This window comes from Homo sapiens, chromosome 16 (assembly GCF_000001405.40).
Source record: "Homo sapiens chromosome 16, GRCh38.p14 Primary Assembly".
NCBI lineage: Eukaryota > Metazoa > Chordata > Mammalia > Primates > Hominidae > Homo > Homo sapiens.
Window position 1 is genome coordinate 78,151,629 of NC_000016.10, and position 27,521 is coordinate 78,179,149.

The following is a 27,521-nucleotide window of genomic DNA, read 5'->3' on the forward strand; positions in this document are numbered from 1 at the left end:
CTTGCCTTGATTGCTCTGTATTAAAATTCATAAAGGCCCATGAATTATCAATTAGATAGCATTTGGTTTGTTATTTTTAGTTTCTTCCTATAGCAGGCATGTATGCATGTGTTAAAAATGGAAGTAGCGTCGACATTATGAAATGCACAAGAAGTTTTCCTGCCCCCAACCGGTAACTCTCTCCTGCAGTAATCAATGTTGGCACCTGTTTAACCACTTTTGTGTCTTACGTGCACGCTGTTCGGTACTTTGACTTTTTTTCTTAATATTATAACATGGAGGCCAGGCGCGGTGGCTCACGCCTGTAATCCCAGCACTTTGGGAGGCCGAGGCGGGCAGATCACGAGGTCAGGAGATGGAGACCGTCCTGGCTAACACGGTGAAACCCCGTCTCTACTAAAAATACAAAAAATTAGCCGGGTGTGGTGGCGGGCGCCTGTAGTCCCAGCTACTCGGGAGGCTGAGGCAGGAGAGTGGCGTGAACCCGGGAGGCGGAGCTTGAAGTGAGCCGAGATCGCGCCACTGCACTCCAGCCTGGGCGACAGAGCGAGACTCCGTCTCAAGAGAAAAAAAAAAAAAATTATAACATGGAAATGTTTCCTTGCATCTCCGTATCATTTCTCCTCATTCTTTTTAGGTGTAACACAGTATTTTGTCCTATTCATGCAATATAATTTATATAACCTAATTGATAAAACATTTTGGTTGATTGCAGTCTGTCGTAGATAATGCCGTACTGAATATTCCTCCCACATATTTGCAAGTCTATTTGTAGGATAAATTTCTGGTTGTGGCTGGGTCAAAGAGCATGTCCACTTCAAATTTGATAGCTATGTCCCAACTGCCCCCAAATATGTTAAGCCATTTCCTATCCCCCATCCCTCATTAATCTATGAAGTTGCCTGGTTGCCCCACATCTTTACCGACAGGACTGCCGCTCAATGTAGTTACCCTTGTAGAATCTGTCTGCATGTGCCTGTCTAGGACCATGTTAATTGTAATCTTTGGGCATTTTTCTCACTCATTCCTAACCAGGACTGTCACTGGCAGGTTAAATGAGAACTTATTCACCCAGCACAGTGGCAGCACTAGTAGCCAGCCTGGGGTCAGTCTTGCCTCTCGAGAGATCTCATGCAGTCAACTGGGATTTATTGTACAGCTTTACAAAACATTACGGCCTCAGCCTTGTACTGCCCAAAGCATGCAGATGCCGCCTGGTGTATTTTAAAGATATTCCACATGAACTGACCCGTTTCCCACTTCTTGAGTTGGTATGTTTTTTGATTAATATATTTGAGATGTATTTATGTTATTAGGGCTATTTAGGAAGCTCTGTAGGGATTTGTTGCTTGCTGTATATAACACATACTTTTAAAAAGCAGGGCTGGCTATGACTTATTTTTCTCTAGAGAGACCTGTGTAGTTTTGTAAGTTCTTAAGATTTGGCAGCTGTGGATCGTGTTTAGTAAGCACGATCTCTAACTCTTTGGAACTCAGAACTATGTAATTGAAATGGCCTGGGAGGCAAATGTGATCATTCAGGTAATCAAAGTAACTACAGAAACAGAGGTATGGATTAGCTAGTCATTGCAGATGTGGCATTGAGCATATAGGCGTGGTGTACTTCTTAGAACTTCATCTGGAAATGCCTGTGGGGGAGTTGGATTTCAAGATCATCGTCAATGTCATGTCACTGTAATTTCATTTACATTAATCAGATTAGTTTGGAAAGTATGGTCTTCCTACTTTTAGGAGGATATAGGAGAAACTCATCCTTAAAGATAGTAGTCTGTTAATACAAAAACAGTCCCCACATTTGCATTGTCCCCAAATCTAACCCAAGCTGAAAGACATTAGGCCTATCTTCTTGCTTTATGCATAATGGCAGATCTCCAGGGAGGGAGAGGATGTGTGCTGGAAGATTCTACAACTTGTTGATTGGTTCCTAAAGATCGTTTTAGTGCTATGTTTGTGGGGCGGGGCTGGAGGGGGCTGGAAATCACCATCTCTGTGGCCTTTTAATTGTGCCCAGTTACAAGTAACATTTGTCCCCAGTGTTTCACAATTATAAATTAATAATAACCACCCATTAGAAATTACGGGTATTGTAAGCCCCAACTCCTTTGGGCGTCTTAATAAAAATGATAATTAAAACCATAATTTACAGTAAATGGGGACACTGCCCAAGTACATCCACAATATGGAGAAAATTAAAAAACTTAAACCAGAAGGAACCTTCCTGGCATCGGGGAAAGAAGCTGCCTTTTTCTTAGCTCCTACCTCTGTGGGAGCTTTGTCAGTATTTGAGGGGACAGGGTTCCCACCTTCATGTTTTTTGTGCCTGAGGATTCTGTGGGCGACTGTCCCCACCTGTCCAACCTACCAGTGAGTCTCATGGTGTGCGGCTGCCTGCTCCGATGCTCTCCACCACCATGCCCAAGCCATTTCTCCCTTTGTGTTCCCTGTCTGGGTAAACAACTTGCCAAGCTCACCAGTGGCCCACAGGGCACCTTGGACACCTAGACTTAGGCAGTCCCTGGCTTTGTAGATTTTTTTTGCTTCCTACATGATTTTCTAATTTATACCTTGAGCTGCTCGGGATAAGAGGGCACCTCGTCCATTTCTGGCTGGTCACAAGGCCACAGTATCTTGAGCGAGTCCATTGTGACCACTGGAGGTACTGTAAATGGATAAAATAATAATATGAATAATAACTCATAGTGTTTACTCCCTGCCTAAATCCACAGGCTCCCGCTGCCTACAGAGGAGTCCCACAGTTTTCGCTTGCTTCATGGAGCTTCATCTCTGTTGTATTCATGTGATTTATTTACACAGAGTTGCTCCCCAATCCTTGATCTTTTTTTTTTTTTTTTTTTTTTTTTGCCAAGCACCCTGCCTTTTTGCTTGTCTGTTTCGTCTTTATCTCTCCTTCCAGTAAAGTTCTTGGCCCAGAGGTTCTGCTGCCACTCAGTGACATTTGTGAAATGCAAGGGAGCTTGCACCATGGGTTCAAGCTCCTGCAGATCCCTGAGCCTGCTACCCTTGTGCTTCTCTGTCCACGCAAAGCCAAGTGCTACTGCGGGGTTTTCCAAGGCATAGCTAGCATCCTAATAGTCTCACACTTGACATAGTAGGGTTTGACATGGTTTAAATAAAATCTCAACCAGATCAGTGGGAGATGTTCTTTGAGATTCGGTGATTGAGTTGTGAACGTATGGACTGAGGGTGTTTTGTGGTAAGGCTTGAGTCATGTCTGTAGCAAGGATGTTTCCTGAATAATGTGCACTGAGCATCAAGTGCCTGCAGTGGCCTGGCGGGTAATGCCAGCAGCACGGGTGATGATCATGGTCAACATGACCAACTAGAAAGCCCAAACCCCACCTCTAGCTGACAGTGGCTTCTCAGCTAACCTGTCACCACGTGGGATTGGGCCCCCAGTGGTGTAAGCTTTTTCAGAGAAGCTACACATCTAGCTTTTGGACCTGTGATCTCCCCAATGTTTTAATGCTGGCAACTAATTCAAATTAGGAAGGAAGGAAGGAAGAGAGGTTGGAAGGGAGAGAGAGAAAGAAGGAGCAAAGGAGAAAAGAAAGGAGAGAAGGAGGAAGGGAGGGAGGAAGGAAGGAAAGAAAAGGAAGGAAGGGAAAGGGAAGGAAGGAAGGGAAGGGAAGAAAGTATGGGCCACACAAAACAGGTCTGTGGGCTTGACTTGTCCTCTGATCATCAGTTTGTGACCTCTGTTCTAAAGAGTGAAAACTATGTAAGATAGTATAAGATAAGTAGGTATTTAAATTACTTTGCACCTTTTCCATTTCATAGAACTTGAATGTTTGTGTTCAAAGCTTAAAACCCAAGACAGTGAGCTATTAAGCCTCCATGGCCACGTCATTTTTCTGATTGCATCTGATGTAACAAGTGCTAGAAAAACTGATGCTGTTCATTGCTTTAAAACGTCTTTCTTTATTTTCTTGGTATTATTAGGTTTACATATTCTTCCGAACACACTCTTGCCATCTCCATGCAGTTAAGCTAGTTCAATTTAAACATTGTCATAAAGTTAATTTTTTATAAGATGAATCAGGTTATTAAATTTAGTAAACCATTGCCTTCATTATTTTGCACAAACTTTGGCACTGTGCAGAATAGGCTTAGCACTACTACATTTAGCTAATTAAACTGGCCGTCAGCTGCAGTATTACAAGAGTGAGGGATGTTATTCTCTTGGGTTTTATCCAGGACTTTAACAGTAGGTAGCATTATTAAGCTTTTTTTATATAAAACTCCACACTCTAGAGATATGGTTTACTATAAAAGTGTTATTGTCCTTCCTGTTAAACTATCATCTTTTGAAATAGCCACGCTTTGTTTCTGTTCCAAAGGCAATTGTAAAGGGTAAGAAAATGGAGTTGTCTATTGCAGCTTTTAAAAGTAGACTAGCAACGGGTAATGCATTGCTTAGATAAAGGAAGATGTAAGAACCAGAGTGTAATTTCACAAGACACAGAGACAGATGGCTTACCCGTAACTACAGTCAGGAATTCTCTAAAGGAGAGAGGGTGGAAGCTTGAGCCTGTAGCCTGTTGCTGCTGTCTTGTCAGATGTGCCCTTTCTGGTAATAAAAAGTCCTTTGCCGTGGGTTATTTTGTCAAGTGAGATAGCAGGACTTAACAGGTTTGTTTGGGAAAATAAAATTTGATAGAAAAACGGCGTGCTTTTCCCCCACAGATTTCTTGGTAGCATCATTCAAAACTACAGTGAGCAGTATCTTTGCAGGATTTTAATATTTATTCATTATTATAAAGGAAGGAAGAGGGCCATCGTGTTGCAGTTTGAAACAGCCTGGATTGTTTTAAAATAGTCCAGAGCTGCAGCCTATTAGCAGTCTGCAAGAACCATTTGTTTCTTCAGCAGATATTTATTGAATCCTACTGGGTGCTAGTCTGGCGAAATACGGAGATTGGAGGGTGTAAGGCTCAAGGAGCTTACCTGAGAAACTGGATAAATAAAGCTCTGTACTGGGTGTGGTGGCTCACGCCTGTAATCCCAGCACTTTGGGAGGTCGAGGTGGGTGGGTCATTTGAGGTTAGGAGTTCGAGAGCAGCCTGGCCAACATGGTGAAATCCCGTCTCTACTAAAAATACAAAAATTAGCTGGGTGTGGTGGCACGCGCCTGTAATCCCAGTTGCTGGGGAGACTGAGACACGAGAATCGCTTGAATCCCTGCGGTGGAGGTTCTAGTGAGCAGAGGTTGCAGATTGCACCGCTGCACTCCAGCCCGGGTGACAGAGTGAGACTCTGTCTCAGTCAGTCAATCAGTCAATCAATCAAGTTCTGGAACCTGCCTGGCCTTGTGTTATATCGATGCTTTCTCAATCTGTTAAAAACGTAGCTGCTATTGAATGACTAAGAATTGTTTACTCTCATTTCCACTCTCTTACATCTTTTTTTTTTCTTTTAATACCCTGTGATGAAACTGTGAAGAAAGATATTCCTGATCATTGCTTTGACCTGGAAATTTCAAAGGGACCCACAGTCCACCATTCCGTCCAAGATCTTCTGGGTGTGTGAAGTCCCGGGCTCCCAAATGCAGTTGTGTTTGGTCACTGTGTTGCTTGCATATGGCTGTTGGCATCTCATTAGCCTGATTGATGGGGCAGATCAGTCAGCAAGACTTTGTTCGGTGCCTGCCCCCAGCCAGCTGGGCTACAAAACCTGGCATTTTACTTCTCTCATTTTCCCCAAATGATCTAGGTGTCTTTTGCTCACTGGTGATAAGGGGTGACATTGGTATCACAGGTAAAAATGAGTAAATTTGAGATTATTGTCGTCTTGCTTTAAAGGTTGGAGATACAGCTTCAAAAACCTTTTACTACCCACACACCCAAGGGGAGTCAAATGGATTTAGGTGTTAAATACTTCAGGTTTGAAATCCTTTGTGCATTATTTCAGCATCTGATTTAAGTATCAGAGGTCATCTTTAGGTAATAAGTAAGTATTTTGGAATATGGGATTTGGCAAAATCTCAAGAAATAATTTCAGGTTGTCTCAGCAATGAGGTTAAATTGTGCTCCAGAGTCCATATTCAGACAAACGGAATGGTGGAGCCCGAGGTTGATTTCTTTGAATTCTGGTTGGTATTAAAGTCATTCAGCCCTCGGGTTACCATTGGTAGCACATCTAGGAGCAAGTTTTAATTTTTTAGTCATAGTGACTGTGCTGGATTTGGTAGGTCGTACGAATTGGGTAAGAGGCATAGGACACCAAGGATTTTGCAAAAAGCAGGCAACTAACATTTGTTTTCCACCTACTATGATTATGTTAGGCTCTCAATATATGTTTACCACTTATTCCCCATTTTACAGAAACGATAACTGAGTTTCACATGGGTTCAAGGCGTGACCTTAGATCCCACAGCTTGTACGTGCTTAGAACTGGCAGCAACACAAGTGTGTCCAACTTGAGTTTTCCTCTGTGCTATGCTGATTTTCCTTGAGAAGTATTCTGTATAAATAGACTGTTTTCTATGAAGATTAGGCCTGTGGGAGTGATATGAATGAATGAACTTTACTAGGCTCTTTCACATGGTGATGTCAGGAAGATAACGGTATGCTGATTTTGCGTGCATATTAACATTATCTTGTAAACAATAATTTATGGCCATTTGACATGGGTTTGGCTGAATTGCATAGCTGCCTTCTCTAGTAGAATTGACTACTTTGTTATTGTACTGTACTCTATAGGGTCTTCCACCACAGATTACAAAATATGGTATTTTTTAGTTTAGAGCAATGGGTTGGTGTTCAAGCTCTGGATTAGACTGCCTCTTCTTTTTCCTCCCTCCCTCCCCTCCCCTCCTCTCCTTTCCCCTTTTTTGAGATGACTTTAAAATATAGATTCATATTTTTTAAATATACAGAACTTTTTCAGTTTTCCATTTCTTCTTGTGGCAACTTTTTTTGTAGTGTTTTTCTAGGAATTTGTCTTTTTTACCTGTATTGTAAATTCATTGGTATAAAGTTGTTCACCATATCTTAAGATCTTCTTTGGGTTCATAGGATCTGTAGTCCTTTTCTTTATTTTTCATTTTTAAAAACAACTTTATTGAGGTATGATTGATGTACAAAAAGCCTTACGTATTTGATGTATAGAACTTGATAAGTTTGGAGATAAGTATATACCTGTGAAACCATTATATTTTATAAGTACATGATACAATATGAGCACAGTACTATATGGTAGATCTCTAGGGCTTTTCCATCTGGCGTACCTGAAACTTCATACCCTTTGGCTAATACCTCCTTGTTTCTCTCTCCCCTCAGCCCTTTGCCTACACCATTCTATTTTTTGCCTCTATGAGTTTGAGTGTCTTAGATTCCTCATATAAATTGTATCATGTAGTATTTGTCCTTCTGTGTCTGGCTTATTTCACTTAGCATAATGTCCTTCAGGTTCATCCATGTTGTTGCAAATAGCAGAATTTCCTTCATTCCTAAGGCTGAATAATATTCCATTGTGTGTGTTTGTGTGTGTGTGTGTTTGTGTGTGTGTCTTCCACATTTCCTTTATCCATTCATTCATCAGTAGAAATTTAGGCTGCTTCCATGTCTTGGCTAGTATGAATAATGCTGCAGTGAACATGAGAGGGCAGACATATTGTTGTGATCCTGATTTGAGTTCCTTTGGATATGTATCCAGAAGTAGGATTGCTGGATCATAATCCAGCAATTTTTAATTCTTGTTTCGTTTTTTGAGGAACCTCCATACTGTTTTTCATAATGGTTGCACCAATTTACATTCCACTAAGGAATGTAAGTTTCTCACGCATAAGGGGGCTCTTGTTTCCACACCCTGAACCACACTTGTTATCTTTCATTTTATGATGAGAACCACCTTAAGAGGTGTGAGGTGACATCTCACTGTGGTTTCAATTTGCATTTTCCTGAGAATTAGTGACAGTGAGCCCCTTTTCATACACTTGGCTATTTGTATGTTTTCTTTGGAGAATTGTCTATTTGGTTCCTTTGCTTGTTTTTAAAATCTGTGGTTTTTTTTTTTTTTTTTTTTTTTGCTATTGGGTTTTAGGAGTTCCTTATATATTTTGGATATGAACACTATCAGTTATGAGGTTTGCAAGTATTTTTTACTATTTTGTAGCTTGCCCTTTCAGTGTCTTGATTGTTTTCTTTAACGTGCAGAAGCTTTTTAGTTTTACGTAACCTCACTTGTCTAGTTTTGCTTTTGTTGCTTATGCTTTTATGTGGCATAATGTTGTCCTTTTATTCATCCCTGATATTGGTTGTTCAAGCCCTCTCTTTCTGTCTCTGTCTCTCTCTCTGTCATTCTTGCTAGCCCTTTATCAATTTTATTAGTTTTTTCAATTGACAGACTTTTAGCTTCTTTTTTTCTCTGTATTTTATGTTTGTTTTAGATTTATAAGTTTCTCCTTTCTCCTTTTATTTCCATCGTTCTGCTTTCTTTAGGCTTAATTTGCTGGGTTATTTTCCTAATGTAATGGATGCTTAGATCATCTTGGATGCTTAGATCATCATTTTTTCTTTCTTTCTTTTTTTTTGGAGCAAGATCTCACTCTGTCACCCAGGCTGGAGTGAAGTGGCATGATCATCCTCCTGAGTAGCTGGGACCACAGGTGTGCACCACCACGCCCAACTAATTTTTTGTAGAGATGGAATTTTGCCATGTTGCCCAGGCTGGTCTCGAACTCTTGGGCTCAAGCGATCCACCCGCCTCGGCCACCCCGATTCCTGGGATTACAGCCATGAGCCACTGTGCCTGGTCTTCTTTTTAATATATGTAGTTAAGGCTATAGATTTTCTTTTAACCATGGCTTTAGCTATACTCCTTAAGTTTGTATATGTGTTTGTAATTACCGAGTTTAAAATATTTCTAACTTTCATTGTAATTTTTTGAGCCATAATGTCTTATTTATTTATACATATATTTCCAGAAATGAGAATTTTCTGGGATCTTGTTATTGATTTGTAATTTAATTCCATTGCGGTCAAAGAGCATACTTTCTAATTTTAATCTTTTGAAATTCATTGAGACTTGCTTTTGCCCCTGCAAATCATCAGTTTTGGTAAGTATTCTTGAAGTACTTGAGTATATTTTGCTGTTGCTTTCAGTGTTTATCATATTCAATTATTTTCAGTTTATCAATTAAGTTGTTCAAGTCTTCTATATACTTTGTGTTTGTCTGCTTATTTTATCTGTTACTAAGAGGGATATGTTAAAATCTTCCATTATAATTGTGAATTTGTCTATTTATTGTCCTAATTCTGTCAATTTTTGACATATATGAGAGGCTCTATTATTAAGTACATATAAATTTAGAATTGTCATGTATTCTTGGTGGATTGAAATTTACCATTGTGAAATATTCAGCACTTTCTCTTGTAATGCTTCTTGCTTTAGAGTCTTTTTTTTCTGAAATTAGTACAGCTATATCAGATTTCTTTTGGCCCGTGTTATACAGTATACCTTTTCTATTCTTTTACTTTTTTTATGCTTATGTTTAAATAAGGTATAAAACATAATGTACATTCTTTTTTAAGGACAGTATATGTATATTTATGTTTTCTTCAGTCTGACAAACTTTTTCTTTTAATTGCCATCTTTAGGCCATTTATATTTAATGTAATGACAGATATATTTGAGTTTGGGTTTAAATATACCACCTTATTATTGGCTTCCTGTTAAGTTATTCTATATTCCTCTTTCCCTTATTTCTATCCTTTCTTTCTCTTTTTTCTTTTCCTTTTTCCTTTCTCTCTCTCTCTCTCTTTCTTTCTCTTTCCTTTCTTTCTTCCATTTAAATTGAGACAGGGCCTTGCTCTGTCACTCTGGCTGGAGTGCAGTGGCATAATCATAGCTGACTGTGCCCTTGAACTCTTGGACTCAGGCAATCCCTCGACATCAGCCTTCTGAGTAGCTGGGACTACCGGTACCTGCCACCACACCTGGCTATTTCTTTTTTAATTTTAATTTTTGTAGAGACAGAGTTTTGCTATGTTGCCCAAGCTGGTCACAAGTGATCCTCATGCTTTGGCCGCCCACGGTGCTAGAATTACAGGCCACTGTACCTAGTCATCTTCTCTCCTTTCTTGCCTTTTTATCATTCTGCTTTTCTTCTCCATTAGCTTTTTAAATTTGTAGAGATTTACATCTTGCATCTTTGACTTATTAAAATCTAATATAAATCAGTATTATATCACTTCCTGGAGAAGACAAGAACCTTAGGATACTTTGCTTCCATTACTCACCTCCTAGGTTAAGCATTGTTATTATTATTGATATAGTAATTTTTGCTATATATTTTAAAACTCACAGATTTCACTCTTACCATTTGGATCTTAACATGTCGTTACCCTTTATGTTGCTCTTTGTTACTTTCTGCATCTCTGGGTTTATAGCTAAGGTCATTTTCCTCCTGCCTGAAGAGCATCCTTTAGTGTTTCCTCTAGTGTGGGTCTATACGTGACACTAGGTGTAGTGTAGGTGACAAACAAAAAGCAGCTTTCGTTTGCTTAAAATTTTTGTTCTCTGCCTTTATTTTTCAAAAATATTTTCACTAGGTATAGAATTCTAAGATGAAAGTTTTATTTTTTTTCAGCTGTGGCTTCCATCATTTTCCTGAGAGGTATAACTATCAGTCTTGTAGCTACTGGTCTCTAACTACTTCTAAAACTATCTGCAGTTTTTAGCAGTTTTACTCTGATGTGCCTTGCTTTGACATGTATGTGTATATATGTGTATCTACACACACATACACACATACAGATACACACTCACATATATATTTCTGTTTGCGGCTCACACAGACATAAATATATATATATATACAAACGTACATTTCTGCTTGTAGCTTGCACATATATATATACACACACACACATACATGTAGACACACACATTTATACATATACATGTCAACACATACACATACATATTTCTGCTTATGGCTCAGGATACTTCTTTTTTTGGCCGTGTATGCGTCATTGATTTTGTAACATTATCAGCCATTCTGTCTTTAAATATTGCTTTTCTTAGTCTATTTCACTTGTTTTGGAACTCAGATTACATGTATGTGTAAGAGCCTGGGAGAATGTGTTTCATATGTCTCTTTTGTGCTTTGTTTTATTGTGTTATTTTTTTCTTTTTATGCTTCACTTTGGATTTTTTTGTTAACTTATTTTGTAGTTTCCTCAATCTTGTCGTCAGCTGTGTCTTGTATTCTGTTAAACTATATGCTGAATTCTTCTTTACTCTTATTACTCTTATTTTGTTTAAGTTTCAGAATATCTATTTGAATTTTTTTATTGTTTCTAATTCCCTGGCAAAATTCTCCATCTTGCCTTTTTGTTCCTTGAATTTGTCAGTCAGACTTATTTTAATCACTGTTTCTGAATAACTTGATTAGACAGATCTCCTGTGCATTTATTTCCATTTGTTCCCCTCTGGCTTTTGGTGAAGTTTTTTCTTTTTGTATGCTTAGCTATTTTGTTTGAATGTCTGAGAGTTTATATGAGTATTTGAAATAATCATAGTGGTAATTTGAGACTCTAGATAATGGTATCTTCCTCCAGAGAACATTTTCTCTTGCTTCTGGAAATTGGATAGATAGGGACTGATCACTTTAATCAAACTAGGAATTGAAATGGCCTGAAGCTGAGTTTCCACTCTTGTGAAGGCTGGACTGTCTCTTGTTATTACAGCGAGGGTATAACTCTTTAGGATCCCGACCCAAGGTTTGGTGTGTTTACCGTGGCCCTTTCCTGGTGGGTCCTGAGCTCAAATTTATGTCTTTTTCCTTGTTATAAAATTGCCAAAAGCTCAGCCCATCTTCTCAGGCTTCCAACCACTATGTTTGGAAATGAAATATGCCTTGAAGGAAAAAAGCTGCCAAATGCTGGCCTTGCAGTTTTTGCAGATCTTGGCCCCCAAAATTCTTAGTCATAGTGCCCTTCTGATGCCTTCAAACAGATATGGGTGTGTATGCACGTGTGTTATTTTGTCCATCTTTTCTAATTGTTCTCAGTAGGAAATGGGGCTAAGAAACCTAGGTAACACTGGTAGAAGCAGAGGTGCTGGCGACACTTACCATAGAGTAGAGCATAAAGTCCTTATCGTGGGCACAGGATCTGGTCATTATTGATGGTTAAATGGCTGGACATGCCGTGAACTCTTCTATGTCCCAGTCTTCATCTTTGAAATCACTGCATCCCTAGGACAAGTTTTCTCACCATCACAGTGTTGACAGTCCGGGCCAGATGGTTCTATGTTGTCAGGGGCTGCCCTGTTCATGGTAAGATGTTTTGTAATGCCTGGTGTTTACCCACTAGATGCCAGTAGGACTCTACCCCACAACTGTGGCCACTGAAAATGTCTCCAGACATTTGCTTCTGTCCCCTGGGGATCAAAATCACCCCTGGTTGAGAACTTGGGGTAATTTAAGTGGTGCTCCGGTAAAGGCCATTCAACATGACTCACTGTGTTGATGTTATGTTTTCTAACATTGACTTTCCTTTAAACCATAGGGTTCGAAACCGCCAAGTCTTTTGCCCTCCATGGTGCACATGTGATCTTGGCCTGCAGGAACATGGCAAGGGCGAGTGAAGCAGTGTCACGCATTTTAGAAGAATGGGTAAGTGCTTGACTGTTGTTGTTTTTTTTAATTGTCAAATACACATGCCGGGCTAACCATATGGAGATTTCAGTGGAGTGTGTAAAGTTTATTGCTCTTGGAATCATGTCTTTATTTTTAAAGTCATCTTCACTTTGTTTGTCTTATGAATGAAAGCATGAGCAAGTCCATTATTATTCACGCATTTGTTTGTAGTTCATTGTCAGTGTCATCTGCTTTATTAGTCAGGGGTTTGAGAATGTTTCTTCCTTTAACTCATTTATTAAGAAAAATAAAACGTGGTGAACGCCCATGATTGCAACTAGGAGACTGTTATGCTTATGGTTGTTAAGATTAGAAAGAAGGAGGCTTTAACCCTATCTCTAATTTCTTACTTTTCTCTGTCTATGTAGAAGTTGATGTTGATACGTGTCTACATAAATATTTACTAAGGGCTTGCCTTAGTCTTGGGACCAAGGATATAGTATTAAACGAAACAGAATCCCTGCCCTCATAGGCTTACCTTCTAGGTAGGAAAAATAGACCATAATCAAGTTTAATATTTGCCATAATGTCAGTAAATAAAGGACTGTAAAGCAGAGGAAGGTGGGGGGAATGATAGCGTGAGTGTGATGGAGTCATCAGCAGGGAGCCTTCCAAAGTTGTGACATTTGATCTGAGACCTGAATGAAGTAGGGGTAAGCCATGCAGATGTCAAGAGAAGTATTCTCTTAGCAGTGAGAAGAGCATATGCTAAGGCTCAGAGGTAGGCACAAGCCTGGAGATTTCAAGGATCATCAGGGAAGCTAGTGTGGCTGGAGATGAATGGAGTGGGTAGGAGAGGTGCTGTTGGGGGATGGGTATCTGGTAGACTCTGAGATAGCGGTGAGGAAGACATTAGAGGGTTTGAGCTAGAGAGTGATGCGAGCTGTTTGATTTTTGAAACATCGCTGGATTTCAGAATGAAGTCCAGACTGCATTCATTCACTTTTCATTCATTCACATATTCATGAAGTGCACCTCTGTGATGGGTGCTGGGGTCTACTGTTAAGGACAACAGACGTTGCCACTGTCTTTGTAGAGCTTTCAGCCTATTGTGGAAGACAAATTTAGTCAAAAAACACAGATCTTAATGTAAACTTGAAAAAGCAGTGAGTGGTCCTAGGAATCAGTAATGATGCCAGGGAGTTGGGAGACCTTTGGGGTCCCCAAGGAAGAAGTGATTGAACTAAGATCTGAAGAAAGACCTGAAGAGGGTGGAGAAGGGTCAGATGGGGTAGGGGAATGGCAGGTGCAGAGGCCCTGGGAGGAGGGGGAGGAGGAGATAGAGCAGCGTGTTTGGGAGCAGAGCCTGAAGGGGGCTGGGTACACCCTGTGGAGGCCGTCTTCATTTTTGAATGCTGTGAAAGATTTCTTGCCATTTGAAGAAATAGACTACAGTGTACTTAAGAAAATTTTTGGTACTCTGGACTGAAAAGTAGTGAAAATAAAGAAAAGGAAGATTTATTTCTGCTTTTTCAGTGTATTTATGATGAAATATTTGAAATTCAGTATATTTGAAATGAGCCCTTATCTTGAGCTCACTGAGCTTATTATTTTGGGTTAAATAAAAAAGAAAACAGAGTCTTACTTTTTCTGATCATTTTATTGTCTTTCTGACTAATGTTAAAAAGTAGTAACCTCTAGTAGGTGGGATAGTAGCAATTTTTAGGGATGTATTGAGAAGAGTACAAATGGGAATACGTGCATCTTATTTGAATCTACACGCAGAATGGGAAGGTGAAAAATGAAATGTGAAAGTCGTTCTTGGTCCTTCTCTTGGAAGATAAACATTATGTATTCTTCCAGAAAAAGGTTATCTATATACCAGCAAACACACTCACATTCTGTTCTGTACTTTTTTTTTTTTTAAACTTAGTACTGCAGGAGATCTCTTATTAGTGCATATAGATCTACTTCATTGTTTTAACTGCTGTATAATATTCCATCATGTGCTTATGCTATAACCAGTCTTCCCTTTGGTGGCCATTTAGGTTGTTTGCATTGTTTTGCTATTTGTTATTCCAAGCAATGGTGTTTCACAGTTCTCTCTTTCTTGCATCAGTCTTTCTTACGATATCATCTGATATTGGGCCTAAACTATGCTGCTGTGAGCATTCTTTATTTACGTATTTGTGAGTAAATGCCTGGGGCAGAATCTTAGCACTGGACTCCTTGATTCAAAGGGCATATGCATTTAAAATTTTGGTAACAGTTCCCGAGTCATTTTCTTTTTTCTTTTTTTTCTTTTTCTTTTTTATTTTTTTTTTGAGACTGAGTTTCACTCTGTCACCAGGCTGGAGTGCAGTGGCACAATCTCGACTCACTGCAACTTTCACCTCCTGCGTTCAAGCAATTCTTCTGCCTCAGCCTCCCGAGTAGCCGGGACTACAGGCACGCGTCACCATGCCCAGCTAATTTTTGTATTTTTAATACAGACGGAGTTTCACCATGTTGGCCGGGATAGTCTCGACCTCCTGATCTCATGATCTACACACCTAGGCCTCCCAAAGTGCTGGGATTACAGGCATGAGCCACCGTGCCCGACCTCCCGAGTCATTTCTTATCTTGTTGCTCCAATTTCCATTCCCACTGACAGTGTAGACAGACAACTGCTGAGGGCTTGCAGTGTTCTTGGGACTAGCAGGAGGGCGTGTCAAAATTGTAAAACTCTGCCTATTTGATGTAATATTTGAAACTAGAAAGGTAAAATTCCAGGGACGCTAGTGACACTATGGTAACCTGATTGTACAGTGACATTCATGTTTAAACCAGTCTTGGAAGATAATGCTGTAGCACAACTGTTTTTGCATCATTAAATTTATCCTCTTCTTTTCTGAGAACACAATATATATGAGAACACATTCATCTGCATTTATCCTATTTTAATTATTGTTTGATGCTTAGAGCAGAAATTCCTGGACCTGCCCCAATTAGCGATGAGACCTTGGGTAAGCCTCTGGATCTATTTGGAGCCTGTTTCCTCATCTTTAAGGAAAAAGGTTGGATGGATGATGTCAAAGACCCACTGTTCAGTCTTTCTTTCTTATATTTTGAGCCTTAATTGGGTCCCTGTGAGTCAATTTCCGATGATAGAATTTGCTGTTTTATAGTTTTACTCTAACATGTAGTACCTTGAGATAGACCAGTGATCCCAGACTAAGAATTATTCAGAATCATTCACCGTCGGGGACACAGAAAAAGGAAAATGGAACAGAAACAAAACTAATACACGTGGCTCCAGATGTTTAAAATTAGATTTGATAGGTTGTAGGCTGAAGAAACTCAACCTGTTCATCATCTCTCATCTTTTCACTTGTTCTCTCTGTATGCCATTATATTGTGTTCCTCATTTTCCCAAGATGATGATTATGGAAACTCAAATTTTGCACCAGAAGCTGTAGTTACCATTTCATTCCATTGCACCATTCATACCCTGCAGAGAGGATGTGAAGTCGTAAGGCCTTCTTGCTCTGGTGACATCTGTTAGGCTTCGTCTCTATATCATCCCCCAACTCCTTGACCCTTGATATTTGCTGGTCTACTTCCCTTCAGGTCCTTCCTCACCTCACATCTCTGCGCAAGGATTTCATCTGGTATGTCACTAAATATTACCTTCCTGTGTTTCTCAAGGTCAATTTGATAGACTCCAATTTTTCAAGCTGCTGGCCAGCTTGAGCGTATTCATATGTTACCTACGATGAATCACATCAGTGTCGGGGCCGGGAAGGTACTGCAACATATTGGCGCCTCACGGGAGGCTCTCAAAATGATCCAAAGTTTTTTGTTGCAGCAAAAGCTCATTCAGAAGTCTTTGGGCCATTTGGCTCAGCGGAGGCTGTCATGTGCCAAGGCTCCGTGGGCATTCTTAGCTCTGCTTCTGGAGATAAGAGTTCATTCCTCCATCCCAACTTGTTCTTCCCTGCCCATTCTTCCTCTTCCTGCCTTCACTGCACATTCCGGGATCGCCATGTTCTAGAACATTCATGTCTGCCTTTTAGCCAGCAGAATGCTATTCTCACATCCACAATGGGACAGCTAACAGCCCCCATTTATCAAATCCCTGTCATATGCTGTGTCAGGCACTTTATATCCCTCATCCAGGAGGATGCAAAAACCTGGTGTTTTTCTTTTTTTTTTTTTTGCATTTTCCAGACGAGCCAAGGGATGGCTCAGAAGGGTGAAGGAACTCACCCGAATTGCACAGCTGGTGAGCTCAGAGTCAGGCTCCTTGCTTGGTCCATCTGGCTTCCAAACTCCAAGTCTGTCTGCTCCACCCCATGGCCCATCTTTTTACCATGTTTAGTATCAATGTTCATACTTTGCAGATTTTGCTTTCAAACTCTCTAGCTGCGGTTTGAGTGATTAATTTCAGGATCCATCCTATTTCTTAGAGGAAGCCACTCTGATCTACCCTGTCGTCTCTTTATATTCAAGATATCCTTTATAGAGCTCTCAAATTACTTTTGGGAAGAAGGAGCTATTTAATAAAATACAACTTAAGTGAAAACACATTCCATATAGAAGTATATTAAGAACCTATATGTAATTACTATGACTACTAATTATTTCATGGGAAAATGCCCTCCTGCTGAGATGTTTTAGATGCTCCAAAGTTAGAAGAGAAAAAATGAAAACAATTAAAACAGGATAACATGGACAGTACAGAAGTAAACCACTGTCTTAAAAGGCCAATCCATTTGGCATAATTAAAAAAAGAGGGAGGAGATGGAGGCACATCAGCCCCCATTCATATTTAAATAAAGAAAACGGGGCAGTGGGGCTTGTTCCTATGTTGTGGAACAGCACACAGATGTGATCTACCTCATTCACATCCTTATGTGAATTATACACTGGTGCCCTCACCTCTTAAGACAAGCACCTATCGTTTTCCTGTGTATTCCAAGAGGCCAGTGTGGCTGGTGGAATAAGATGTTTTCCTGTTTTCAAGATGCAGTGGACTCTCTTTTATTTAACAGCAGTGTCTATGTGTTAGGAATCCATGTGAGTTCTCTAAGTCTGGGACAACGATAGGTGTGTCTGAGTCCTGCATTACCATGGTTTATTCTTTCCTTTACCCAGTATCTATTGGAGTTGGGCTTCTGTTGCTTTATTTCTCGGGGTCTGGCATATCCCACTCCCTGTCTTGAGATCTCAGGACCTCTGAGATCTCAGGACCTCTGCATGTAAAGAACAAGAGCTTATTAGGTATCAAAACATACTTCATGAACAGCTACAGCAAGACCTCGACATTCCAGTGTAGAGCTCTTGAAAGACCCCAGTGGGGCTCTGAGTTCCTCCTTCTTCTGTTTCTATTAGATTTCTAAATTTTAGTTTCTAAATTTTAGATCCCCGGAACTTGGGATCTAAAACTCTGGTCCTGTGGAAGAAGGAGGTAGGGTAGAGTGGGAGCAGATGGACCTGATGTCATCCATCTCCCTACGTTGTTTGCAGGAGGAAAAGGGATGAGGCTGAGGCTGGGAGGCAGGGGCGGTGGATTGAGAGAGAGGAGAGGGATTGTTATGAGTAACCAATGTTCCTCATGCCTGCCAGGCCCTCACTAGATCTGTTTAACAGAGAGTGCAGAAGAGCTTCTGTTGGGGACTGGCCATTAGTATAGCGAGGGGCCCAATAAGTGTTGTGAAACATCAGCATCTGCTGGACATTGAGATGGCCACAGGTTGGTCAGAGAGGGCTGGTATGGGAAGAGGGGCAGGTGGCTCTCCCTTAGAGTTACTATTTGACTCACCCCTGACTTCCCAGAATGTGTCTTGAGTCTATTACCCTCTCATATGGGAGGGGTGACCCAAGTATGTTTGTGGCAACCAAAATGTCTCCAGGCATTGCCAGATGTCTCTTGGGGGTGCAAATCGTCCCCAGTTCATAACCACGGCTATAAAACATGCTGTATTATAGTGGCAAAGATTAGAATCAGATACATCTTATGACCTTGGGCAAGTTTCTTAACTTCTTTAAACCTCAGTTTCTTCATCTGTAAAATGCACATCATAATATCTCTATTCAGAGATACAGGTGGTTCTATTAAACACATCAACTCTGTGTATATAAAGTCTTAACCCATTGTGGAATAAATTAAGTGCTCAATTAAATGTTAGCTGCTGCTATTAATAACAACAATAATAATATTTTCTTCACGCATGAAAGTGCAAAGTGATGCTTACTTTTCTTAACCTCTCCAACTGGCTGAAAGAGGAGCTCTAGGGCAGATGTTTATCAGCCTGATTTCAGTGGAGTTGCAATGAATTCTTTTTCTGTCTTCATATGTCTGGACTCCTACATTTTAATGGATGTGTATTTAGTTTGTTGATTAGTATTTTCCAGTGTAGCTCATATTAGCACTCAACTGTCATTTGAAAAGCCATCTTAACTATTTATGTGATTGCTTTTTCTTTTGTATTTACAAAGAAATACACTCTGCATATATTTTGGAAAGATGATTAAGGGATTAGTCATCAGGAACAGCAAGCAATGGTTTATATCAAAATGATTATTGAGAAAGCAGAGAGATGAGGGGTAAAAATAAAAGATTTATTAGCCAGAGGTAATGGAATGTGCATGTTTTAGGGAGAGAGCGCATGCTCAGTTGATTGCAACCACACGGTTTGCTGCTGAAGTGCTGTAATGATTCAGGTTTTCAATAGAGTTGATATCGGGTCTATTTATTTTGTGGGAGTGAAGGGATAGGGATAGTACTGACAGCATTATGTGATTGCAGCCTCATTGATTAGCATCGGAAATAATGACTTTAACATTATTTTCAGATAGGGAGCACTCAGTACCAACCATTATATTAGGCTCATGGGCTCAACATTTTGCTGTGCTTTTCATAGATACTGACACCTGTGTTTTCATTTTGTTGTTGTTGTTGTTTTCCCTGCCGGGAAACTGCCGCATCCTGTGTTTTCATGGCATGATATTAAGGAACGATGGGTAGGATGCTGAGGAGTAAATTGCTCGCACTTTTAAAGACTTCTGCAAAACTCCACCTACTTTTAGGCTCCTTAAAATTCAGTGACTTTATGAGCTGGTATAGCTTCACTGTTTGTGGGAATTCCATGCAATCTCCTTTGACACTAAAAGCTTAAGTCCCATGATTTGCCTTTGTGGATGGAAGGCCTTGGCCTTCTTTTATGATATATGTGTTGGGGGGAGGCATGTGGTATGTGGGGCGGGTAAAATACGAGCCTCATGCCTGTCTAAGCTGGTGACTTGGCTTGGAAAAGATGATCATTCGTCAACGCATCACAAGTCACAGGGCTTATCTCCATTGTTCTGAACGATCTGTAGCTAAACAAAAAGATAAAAGCTATTAATATTATTAATAGTTGTAGATTACCGGGAAGAGCGCATCCTAAATCAGCCATTAGATTTGTTCCTCATTTCTTTGCTTTACAAATTGTTTTTCTGTATAGTATTGGATTTTCAATAAATAAAGGATGATATAAACAAGTCTGCAAACCAGCAAGAACTATATAAGCCACTTGCTCAAGTCAATAAGCGCATGCTCACAAAGGAACGTAAAGTTCTGAAGTTCTTCTTTGGGGCGTTTGCAAAATGTCCTATTATTGTCACCTGCAGGTGGGGGGTTGGATATTCCTATTTGTCTTTGTACTAGGTACTGTGCTTAGCATTTAACAGTAAAGTATTTATATTATGTGTGAAACCCATTGTGCAGATGAGGCAGTTTAGAGGCTGGAAGAGGCATAGACTTTCCCAGGCTCACACAGCTGGGAGATAACGGGGTGGATCCAAGATTTGCAGCTGGTGTGTGGGTGATGCCGGAAGATTGGCCTTTTTCAAGGACTTAGACAAGTATTGTACTCATACATTATTTGCATTTATTTGTATGAATACTTCTGGGTTCCTAATATGAGGGTACCTAAAAAGTACATCCGCTGCGCTTCTTGTAATCTGAGGGAGTTGATGAACATGGGCCAAGGAAGCTCTTTCCTTCGCCTTCCGTTCCAGACTTCCTTTTCGAGTAGTATATCGTGTATTTACTGTTCTACTTCAGTTGCCTATTTGACCTTTCTTGTCACAGGCTCAGGGAAGATTCTTTATCAGATAATAAATTATTCATCCCCCTCATAGACATAATCGGTTGCTAAAATATTCTGAGTTTCCTGTCTCCAGAATACCTAAAACTTGTGCTTGGTACTTATCCTCTAAGTTTTCCGTTTCATTTCTCATTCTGAAAATTTTGCACCGACTTAGTCTTGAATGTTATTCATTGTTCTTTGATCATTGTCTTTGTGTCTTCTCCTTTTTTTTTTTTTTCCTGGCCACCGCTCGCAGTCTTGAACCGAATCTTTCAAACTTTATATCCATGTAACCTTTGTATAATGAGGGCTGTGATTAACTGCAGAGTTTTAAAGAGTGAAAGTCAAGCATAGGTGGCTGGCTCTGAACCATCACTCCCAATAATGTGAAACCCAAAGCAGATGCATCCTTTCATTAATGTGGGGTCCCCTGAGTTCTTATTAAGCAATTTTGACATAGTTTGAAGAGACGGATTTCATGTTCAGACAGTGTTCAGCCGCCAATGGCTGAAAGGCCTGCTTTTGGCCACTTGGCATTTAGACTCCATTATTTAAGAGGGGAAAAATATGCCTGAGACTGTTTTTCATATTTATTGTGGGACATTTAGAGAATCTCAGACTAGCAGGTGTTAGATTAAACAGAGGAGAAACGGTCCTTGTGGTGATAAAACTTCCCTACGCAAGGACAAGTAGAGAAACAACTGTAGATGAAGCAGCCAGTCTCAGGCTGGGGCAGCACGCCCTGCGATAGGTTAAGGTTTATTTTAGACAAATATTTAAAATGCAGCTAATTTTTACATATGCAGACGCAACCCAGTGGAATAGAGGTAGCCCCAGCTTTGGAGTCATACAGATCTGGGGTTAAATCCCAGTGTGAATACTAACTCACTCGGTGTCCCTGGGCAAATCTGGTCATCTCTCTCTCTCTTTTCTTTTTTTGAGATAGGGTATTGCTCTGTCACCCAGGCTGGTGTTCAGTGGCACAATGATGGTTCACTGCAACCTTGACCTCCTGGGCTCAAGTGATCCTCCCATCTCTGCCTCCTGAGTAGCTGGGACTACAGGCTTATGCCACCACACCTGGCTAATTTTTTTTTTTTTTTTTTTTAATGTAGAGGAAGGGCTTCACCACGTTGCCCAGGCTAGTCTCGAATTCCTCTGCTCAGGCGATCCTCCTGCCTGGGTCTCCCAAAGTGCTGGGATTACAGGCATGGGCCATCGTGCCTGGCCTTAGTCATCTCTTTGAACCTTGGCTGATTTACCTGCAGATGCTAATATGACTCTCAGATTCTGGCACATAGTAAAGATTCAGTAAATGGTCGTTGCAGGGAAAGCTAACTTGTCCAATGCAGATCTGTAAAATATACTCATAAATCTTGTTGGAGCAATATTTCTTCTTTGTCTTACTTCGGGCTAATAACAAAAATATCATACAATGAGTGGCTTAAATATTTATTCTTACAGTTCTAGAGGCTGGAAGTCCGAGACGAGGGTGCCAACCTTGTTGAGTTCTTAGTGAGGTCCCTCTTTCTGGTTTTTAAGTAGCCTGTTTCTTGCTGTGTCCTCATATGGTGGAGAGCTGAGAGGAATTGAGAGAGAGAGAGAGAGAGGTCGCACTGTCTCATGTGTCTTGTAAGGGCACTAATCCCTTCATGAGGATTCCACTCTCATCTAATCACCTCTGAAAGGCCCTGTCTCCAACTACCATCACATGGGCAATTAGGGTTTCACCATAATAATTTTGGAGGGACACTGTATTAGTCCATTTTCATGCTTCTAATAAAGACACACCCACGACTGGGAAGAAAAAGAGGTTTAACTGGACTTACAGTTCCACATGGCTGGGGAGGCTTCAGAATCATGGTAGGAGGCGAAAGGCACTTCTTATATGGTGTCAGCAAGAGAAAAATGAGGAAGAAGCAAAAGCAGAAACTGCCTGATAAACCCATCAGATCTCTTGAGACTTATTCACTATCATGAGAATAGCATGGGAAAGACCGGCCCCCATGATTCAATTACCTCCCCCCGGGTCCCTCCCACAACATGTGGGAATCCTGGGAGATATAATTCAAGTTGAGATTTCGGTGGGGCGCAGCCAAACCATATCAGACACAAACATTCAATTCACAGCATTCTACCCCAGCCCTCCAAAATTCATGTTCTTCTGACATGCTAAATACATTTATTACATCCAAATATCCCCAAAATCTTAACTCATTCCGGCATCAGCTGTAAAGTCTATGTCTTTTTAATTTTTTTAAATGATCAAAGCACTGGGAAGTAGCCACTTCTTTCCTCAGCTTCCCACCAATGTGTCAATTAATAATCTGACTAAGGTGGCCGGGTGTGGTGGCTCACACCTGTAATCCCAGCACTTTGGGAGGCCAAGGCGGGCGGATTGCCTGAGCTCAAAAGCTGGCGACCAGCCTGGGCAATACGGTGAAACCCCGTCTCTACTGAAAATACAAAAATTAGCTGGGTGTGGCGGCATGCGCCTTTAGTCCCAGCTACTGGGGAGGCTGAGGCAGGAGAATTGCTTTAACCTGGGAGGTGGAGGTTGCAGTGAGCCGAGATCAGGCCACTGCACTCCAATCTGGGTGACAGAGCAAGACTCTGTCTCAAAAATAATAGTAATAATAATAATAATAATAATAATAATAATAAGAATCTGACTAAGGTTATTAACCATTAAGGTATGCTGTGCTAAGGAGCAGGGGGCCCCTTCCATCCGTAGAGGGCAGAAAGGTGCCTATCATGTCTTCAGTGTCAGTGCCCTGGTATGGAGCTAGCTGGCCTTCCACAGGTTCTGGAGTTAATGCTGGAGAGAAGTAGGGGTGTCAGAGCCTACCCTGTGTTCCTAGGGGGGTTCATCTGGAGCTAGTCCCTGACCCTTAGGTGGAAGATGCAGCTATGCCCAAGGTTCTGAAGACCCTGTAAAAGGAAGCCTTAGAAGTGGCTGCGATTGTTTTAAAGTCTGTCCACAAATTCTTTGATAATTCTCCTTTCAAGAAGTAGAGGCCAGTTCTCCTCTCTTGGAATATGGGCTGTACTTAGTGACTCACTCTCCATGAATAGAATTTGGCAGAAATGGCCGGGTATGACTCCTGAGGTAGGTCCTAAAGGCTTCGTGGCTTCTTCTTGCTCACTCTCTTGGATCACTCACCAGCCACCATGTTGTGAGGAAACTCAAGCAGACCTGAGGTGAGGCCCATGCAACAAGGAATTGAGGCCACCAGCCATGTATATGATCCCCCTTGGAATCCTCCAGCCCAGTCAAGCCTTCAGATGACTGAGGCCCTGGCTGATTCATGTCATGAGAGATCCTGAGTCAGAACCACCCAGCAGCTAAGCCACTTCTGAATCCTTGACCCACAAAATATGGTAAGATACCAAATGGTTACTGTTTTAAGCCACTATGCTCTGGGGGAATTTGTGATGTAGCGGTAGATAACTATCACAGGATCCATGGCCTCAAGGGGAGAAGGATCCTTAAGAGAGACTGGACAGTGAGTTCTAAGGATAAGACATGTATACTTACCCAGGAAGCTCCACTGTGTGCAAGGAATCCTAAGTTCCCGGGGTTGCATCCATCTCCCAGGTCACCTTGTTTGACCTCTCTCCAACACTTTTAAAACATACCTGATCAGGAATCACCCCGCTTTGGCATAAGTTCCTCTCTCCCCATGCTGCCCATCCCATTTCTGCACACCTCTTAATTAGTAAGTTCTCCCTCATATTGAAGGCAGAATCTTCCTCTGAGCGTCTTCTATGCACCGGCCCTGGTCCTGCCCTCCGAGTTCCACTGGCTGCATTCTCATCAGAACCCAGCTAAAACTCACGTCTCTCAAATTCCCTAAATAATAAATCCAAAGTTATTGAAGATATTGGGATACTAAAAGTTGGCAGTGAGACTGGCCCCACTCATTTCTTTGTAACCCCTGTCCCTCTTTTTATTATTGAAGCTTGGGATGCACTTGGTAAGGCTAGGCAGCTGGAGAGCGTGCAGACTCAGGAGCCAAGACCTGCCTTGCCTTCCCTGGAGTTAATGAATCAGTGTGAATGAAGAGCACAGTCTTCTTTTAAATGGCAGGGGAACCATGCACTTATTTACCGGCAATTCTCAGATTCTAATTGTTCCGACTACAATGCGTCCTGTAAACCGGGTAGCTGGGAGAAACTTCAATGCATCTTTGTAATGGCTTTGTTGTTGTTTATTGAGAGGGACTAATTAACTTTGATTATTGCACTAATATTATGGCACTTTGACAGCCCTTCAGATTTATGACTCTGGGAAAATAAACAAATGAAATGCAGGTGCTGGAGCAGAAAGAATAAGTTATTACTGAACTTTAATTACTTGGAATGCGTAGCCAGGAGAGAATTAGTTGATGAATTACAGGATGCTTAAAATCTACATCAAATTGCAAGCAATAAGAAGATAAAAATAAAAAGGAAGGGGCAGGAAGGGTGCTATTTTTAAGGCAGGGAAGGATAGGATGCATTTGCAGTGGTCTCCGTGGTGTTTCATTGATTAAACTTTGTGGTCTCTAATGCTGCAGATATGTACATGGTGCTACTCAAAGCATGGTCCCTGACCTGCAGCATCAGTGTCACTTGAGAGCTTGTTGGAAATGCAAATTCTTGGGCCCCACCCCAGACCTACTAGGTAAGAATCTCTGGAGGTAGGGCCCAGCCATCTGTGGTTTGCAGTTACTCCAGGAGATTTTGATATCTGCAGAAGTTGAGAAGCATGGCTCAACAGTTCTCATGCAGCTTGCTTTTTCTTTTATAAAAGGGCGGGTACACATTTTTATCTTTGCTTATGAAAATCAAATGTTTTCCCAACCCAGTTTACCAAGTAGCTCCCAAATTTTCAAGCTATTTTAAAAATTGGCTGAAATTTAAAAATTTTGGGCAATTTTAATTTATCCAACATCTATTACGTGCTAGGTGGTAGAGTGGGTGACACAAGATAGTCTAGAAGGATTTTGCTAATGAGGTGATACCCCTAAACTGTCATCGATGCCAGCGCCTGGGTAGTGTGGTAAGAGTGATACTCCCATGACTCATGAAAGATGGTCTCCCCACGTGCTTTAAAGCAGGATGGTTGCAGGAGAAAGTATTGGTGGACTGTGAACAGCCCCCATGGCAAGGGTGCATCTGGAGCTGGAGGAAGAGCATCCACAGAGTGTAAGTAGTTTGTCCTGGGAATGGAGATGTCAGGCTTGGGTGTGGTGTCGGGGAGAGGGCAGGCAGCTCCTCTATGAGGCCAGATCATTCGGGGCCTTGGATTCCAGTCTTAGGAGAATAGACTTTATTCTCTAGGTCCTGGCAGCCATCACTGGCTGAGTCTGAGTGGTGGTGATACAGTCCATACTCAGTGACTGAGATAGACAGACATTTGGGCTGAATTAGCGAGGGGAGTGCGGGGTCTGGAGACTCTGTTGGCCTGTTGGCCATGGTCCTGGGCGCAAAGAGCAGAAAAGGACGAGACGGGGACTGAACAGACTTGCTTAGTTCCTGACATTCAAGGAAGAACTTTAACGTCCATCCACGGAGCCTCAAAGGCTAAAAATAATCATCCCTTTCAATAGTTCCTGTTGTGAGGACCATTAACAAATTATAAGAGAAAGCATTCCTCACTTGTAGAAACTCCATGAAAACAGACATGTGTTTACTTATCTGCAACCCTGTGTTAGGAGGAGGGTGATGAGACACTTTACTGTTTGAATCAGGAAGTGCTGACAGTGAAGGGAGGAGCTCTTCATAATTATACCCGGAGAGCAGGCAAGACAGCCACATGCAAGTGGCCTGGCCTGGCTGGGTTTGGTACAGAGGGGATTAGGGCAGATTCAAACCTCACTGGTCCCCCGTCCCAGCACTTCTGTGCTGTCTGCAGTTACTAAGCACTTTTCCTGTTTAAGTTGTTGCTGTTTTCATTCCCGCAAAAGCTCAGCCAGCCTCTAGCCCAAAATTGTCTCTGTTTATTGGACAGTTGGAAATGTCACTGTGGCCCCACAGACCTTGTTGTCAAGCAGGCTGCTACGCTTTTATTCTAGAGCGTCTTTCATCTGATTTCCTCCACCATCTGGAACCTTCTGGATTCTTCCTCTTATGGGTAGTGATGGGCACTTTAGGAGTAGGAATACATGTCAGTGCTAGACCACATCCTTTCATACCCGGAATTCGCATAGTGACATTTAAAAATAGATAGCAGGCCAGGTGCGGTGGCTCACGCCTGTAATCCCAGCACTTTGGGAGGCCGAGGCGGGTGGATCACTTGAGGTTAGGAGTTCGAGACCAGCCTGGCAAACATGGTGAAACTGTGTCTACTAAAAATACAAAAATTAGCCAGTTGTCTTGGCGCATGGCTATAATCCCAGCTGCTCAGGAAGCTGAGGCAGGAGAATCCCTTGAACCTGGGAGGCAGAGGTTGCAGTGAGCCAAGGTGGTGCCACTGCATTCCAGCCTGGGCGACAGAGCGAGATTCCGTCTCAAAAAAAAAAAAAAAGTAATCATTTTAGAATTGCTTTCTCTTCGGGATGGTTTACCTCGTGTTTAGTCTGTAAACGCGGATAACCGAGAGCTGGTCAAATGTTTACATGGGGCTGTGGACCATTTTGTATCATTGGAGGAGAAGCCAGGGCACTTGGCAGGGGTGTTCATGATGATAATCAGGTGGCTGGGTGGAGTCACCATTTGTGGCATCCTCAAAGACTTGCCAACATAGACATTTTTGGGGAGACAGAAACACAGAAATAATTCTGCAGTGCTTTAAAGAA

At 41.4% G+C, this 27,521-nt stretch overlaps 1 protein-coding gene across 4 annotated transcripts in view, besides 1 other annotated feature; it reads left to right on the forward strand.

Moving 5' to 3' along the window:
* The window catches only part of WWOX (WW domain containing oxidoreductase), a 1,113,014-nt gene that overhangs the window by 51,975 nt on the left and 1,033,518 nt on the right, over positions 1-27,521 (forward strand). For all 4 annotated transcript variants that reach the window (NR_120436.3, NM_016373.4, NM_001291997.2 and 1 more), the window contains one exon: positions 12,555-12,661. Coding sequence is in view for 3 of the 4 variants with exons in the window: in NM_016373.4 (NP_057457.1) it covers positions 12,555-12,661 (107 nt within the window). In the remaining variant the exon portion in view is untranslated. The remainder of the gene's footprint in view (positions 1-12,554; positions 12,662-27,521) is intronic.
* Positions 14,061-14,230: an enhancer, noted in NCBI's record as "experimental_46047 CRE fragment used in MPRA reporter constructs". NCBI's record gives its function as "activates a minimal promoter by MPRAs in K562 erythroleukemia cells, with activity observed for the non-introgressed 16:78199671 variant allele {active_cell/tissue: K562}" and the evidence as "EXISTENCE:reporter gene assay evidence [ECO:0000049][PMID:34662402]".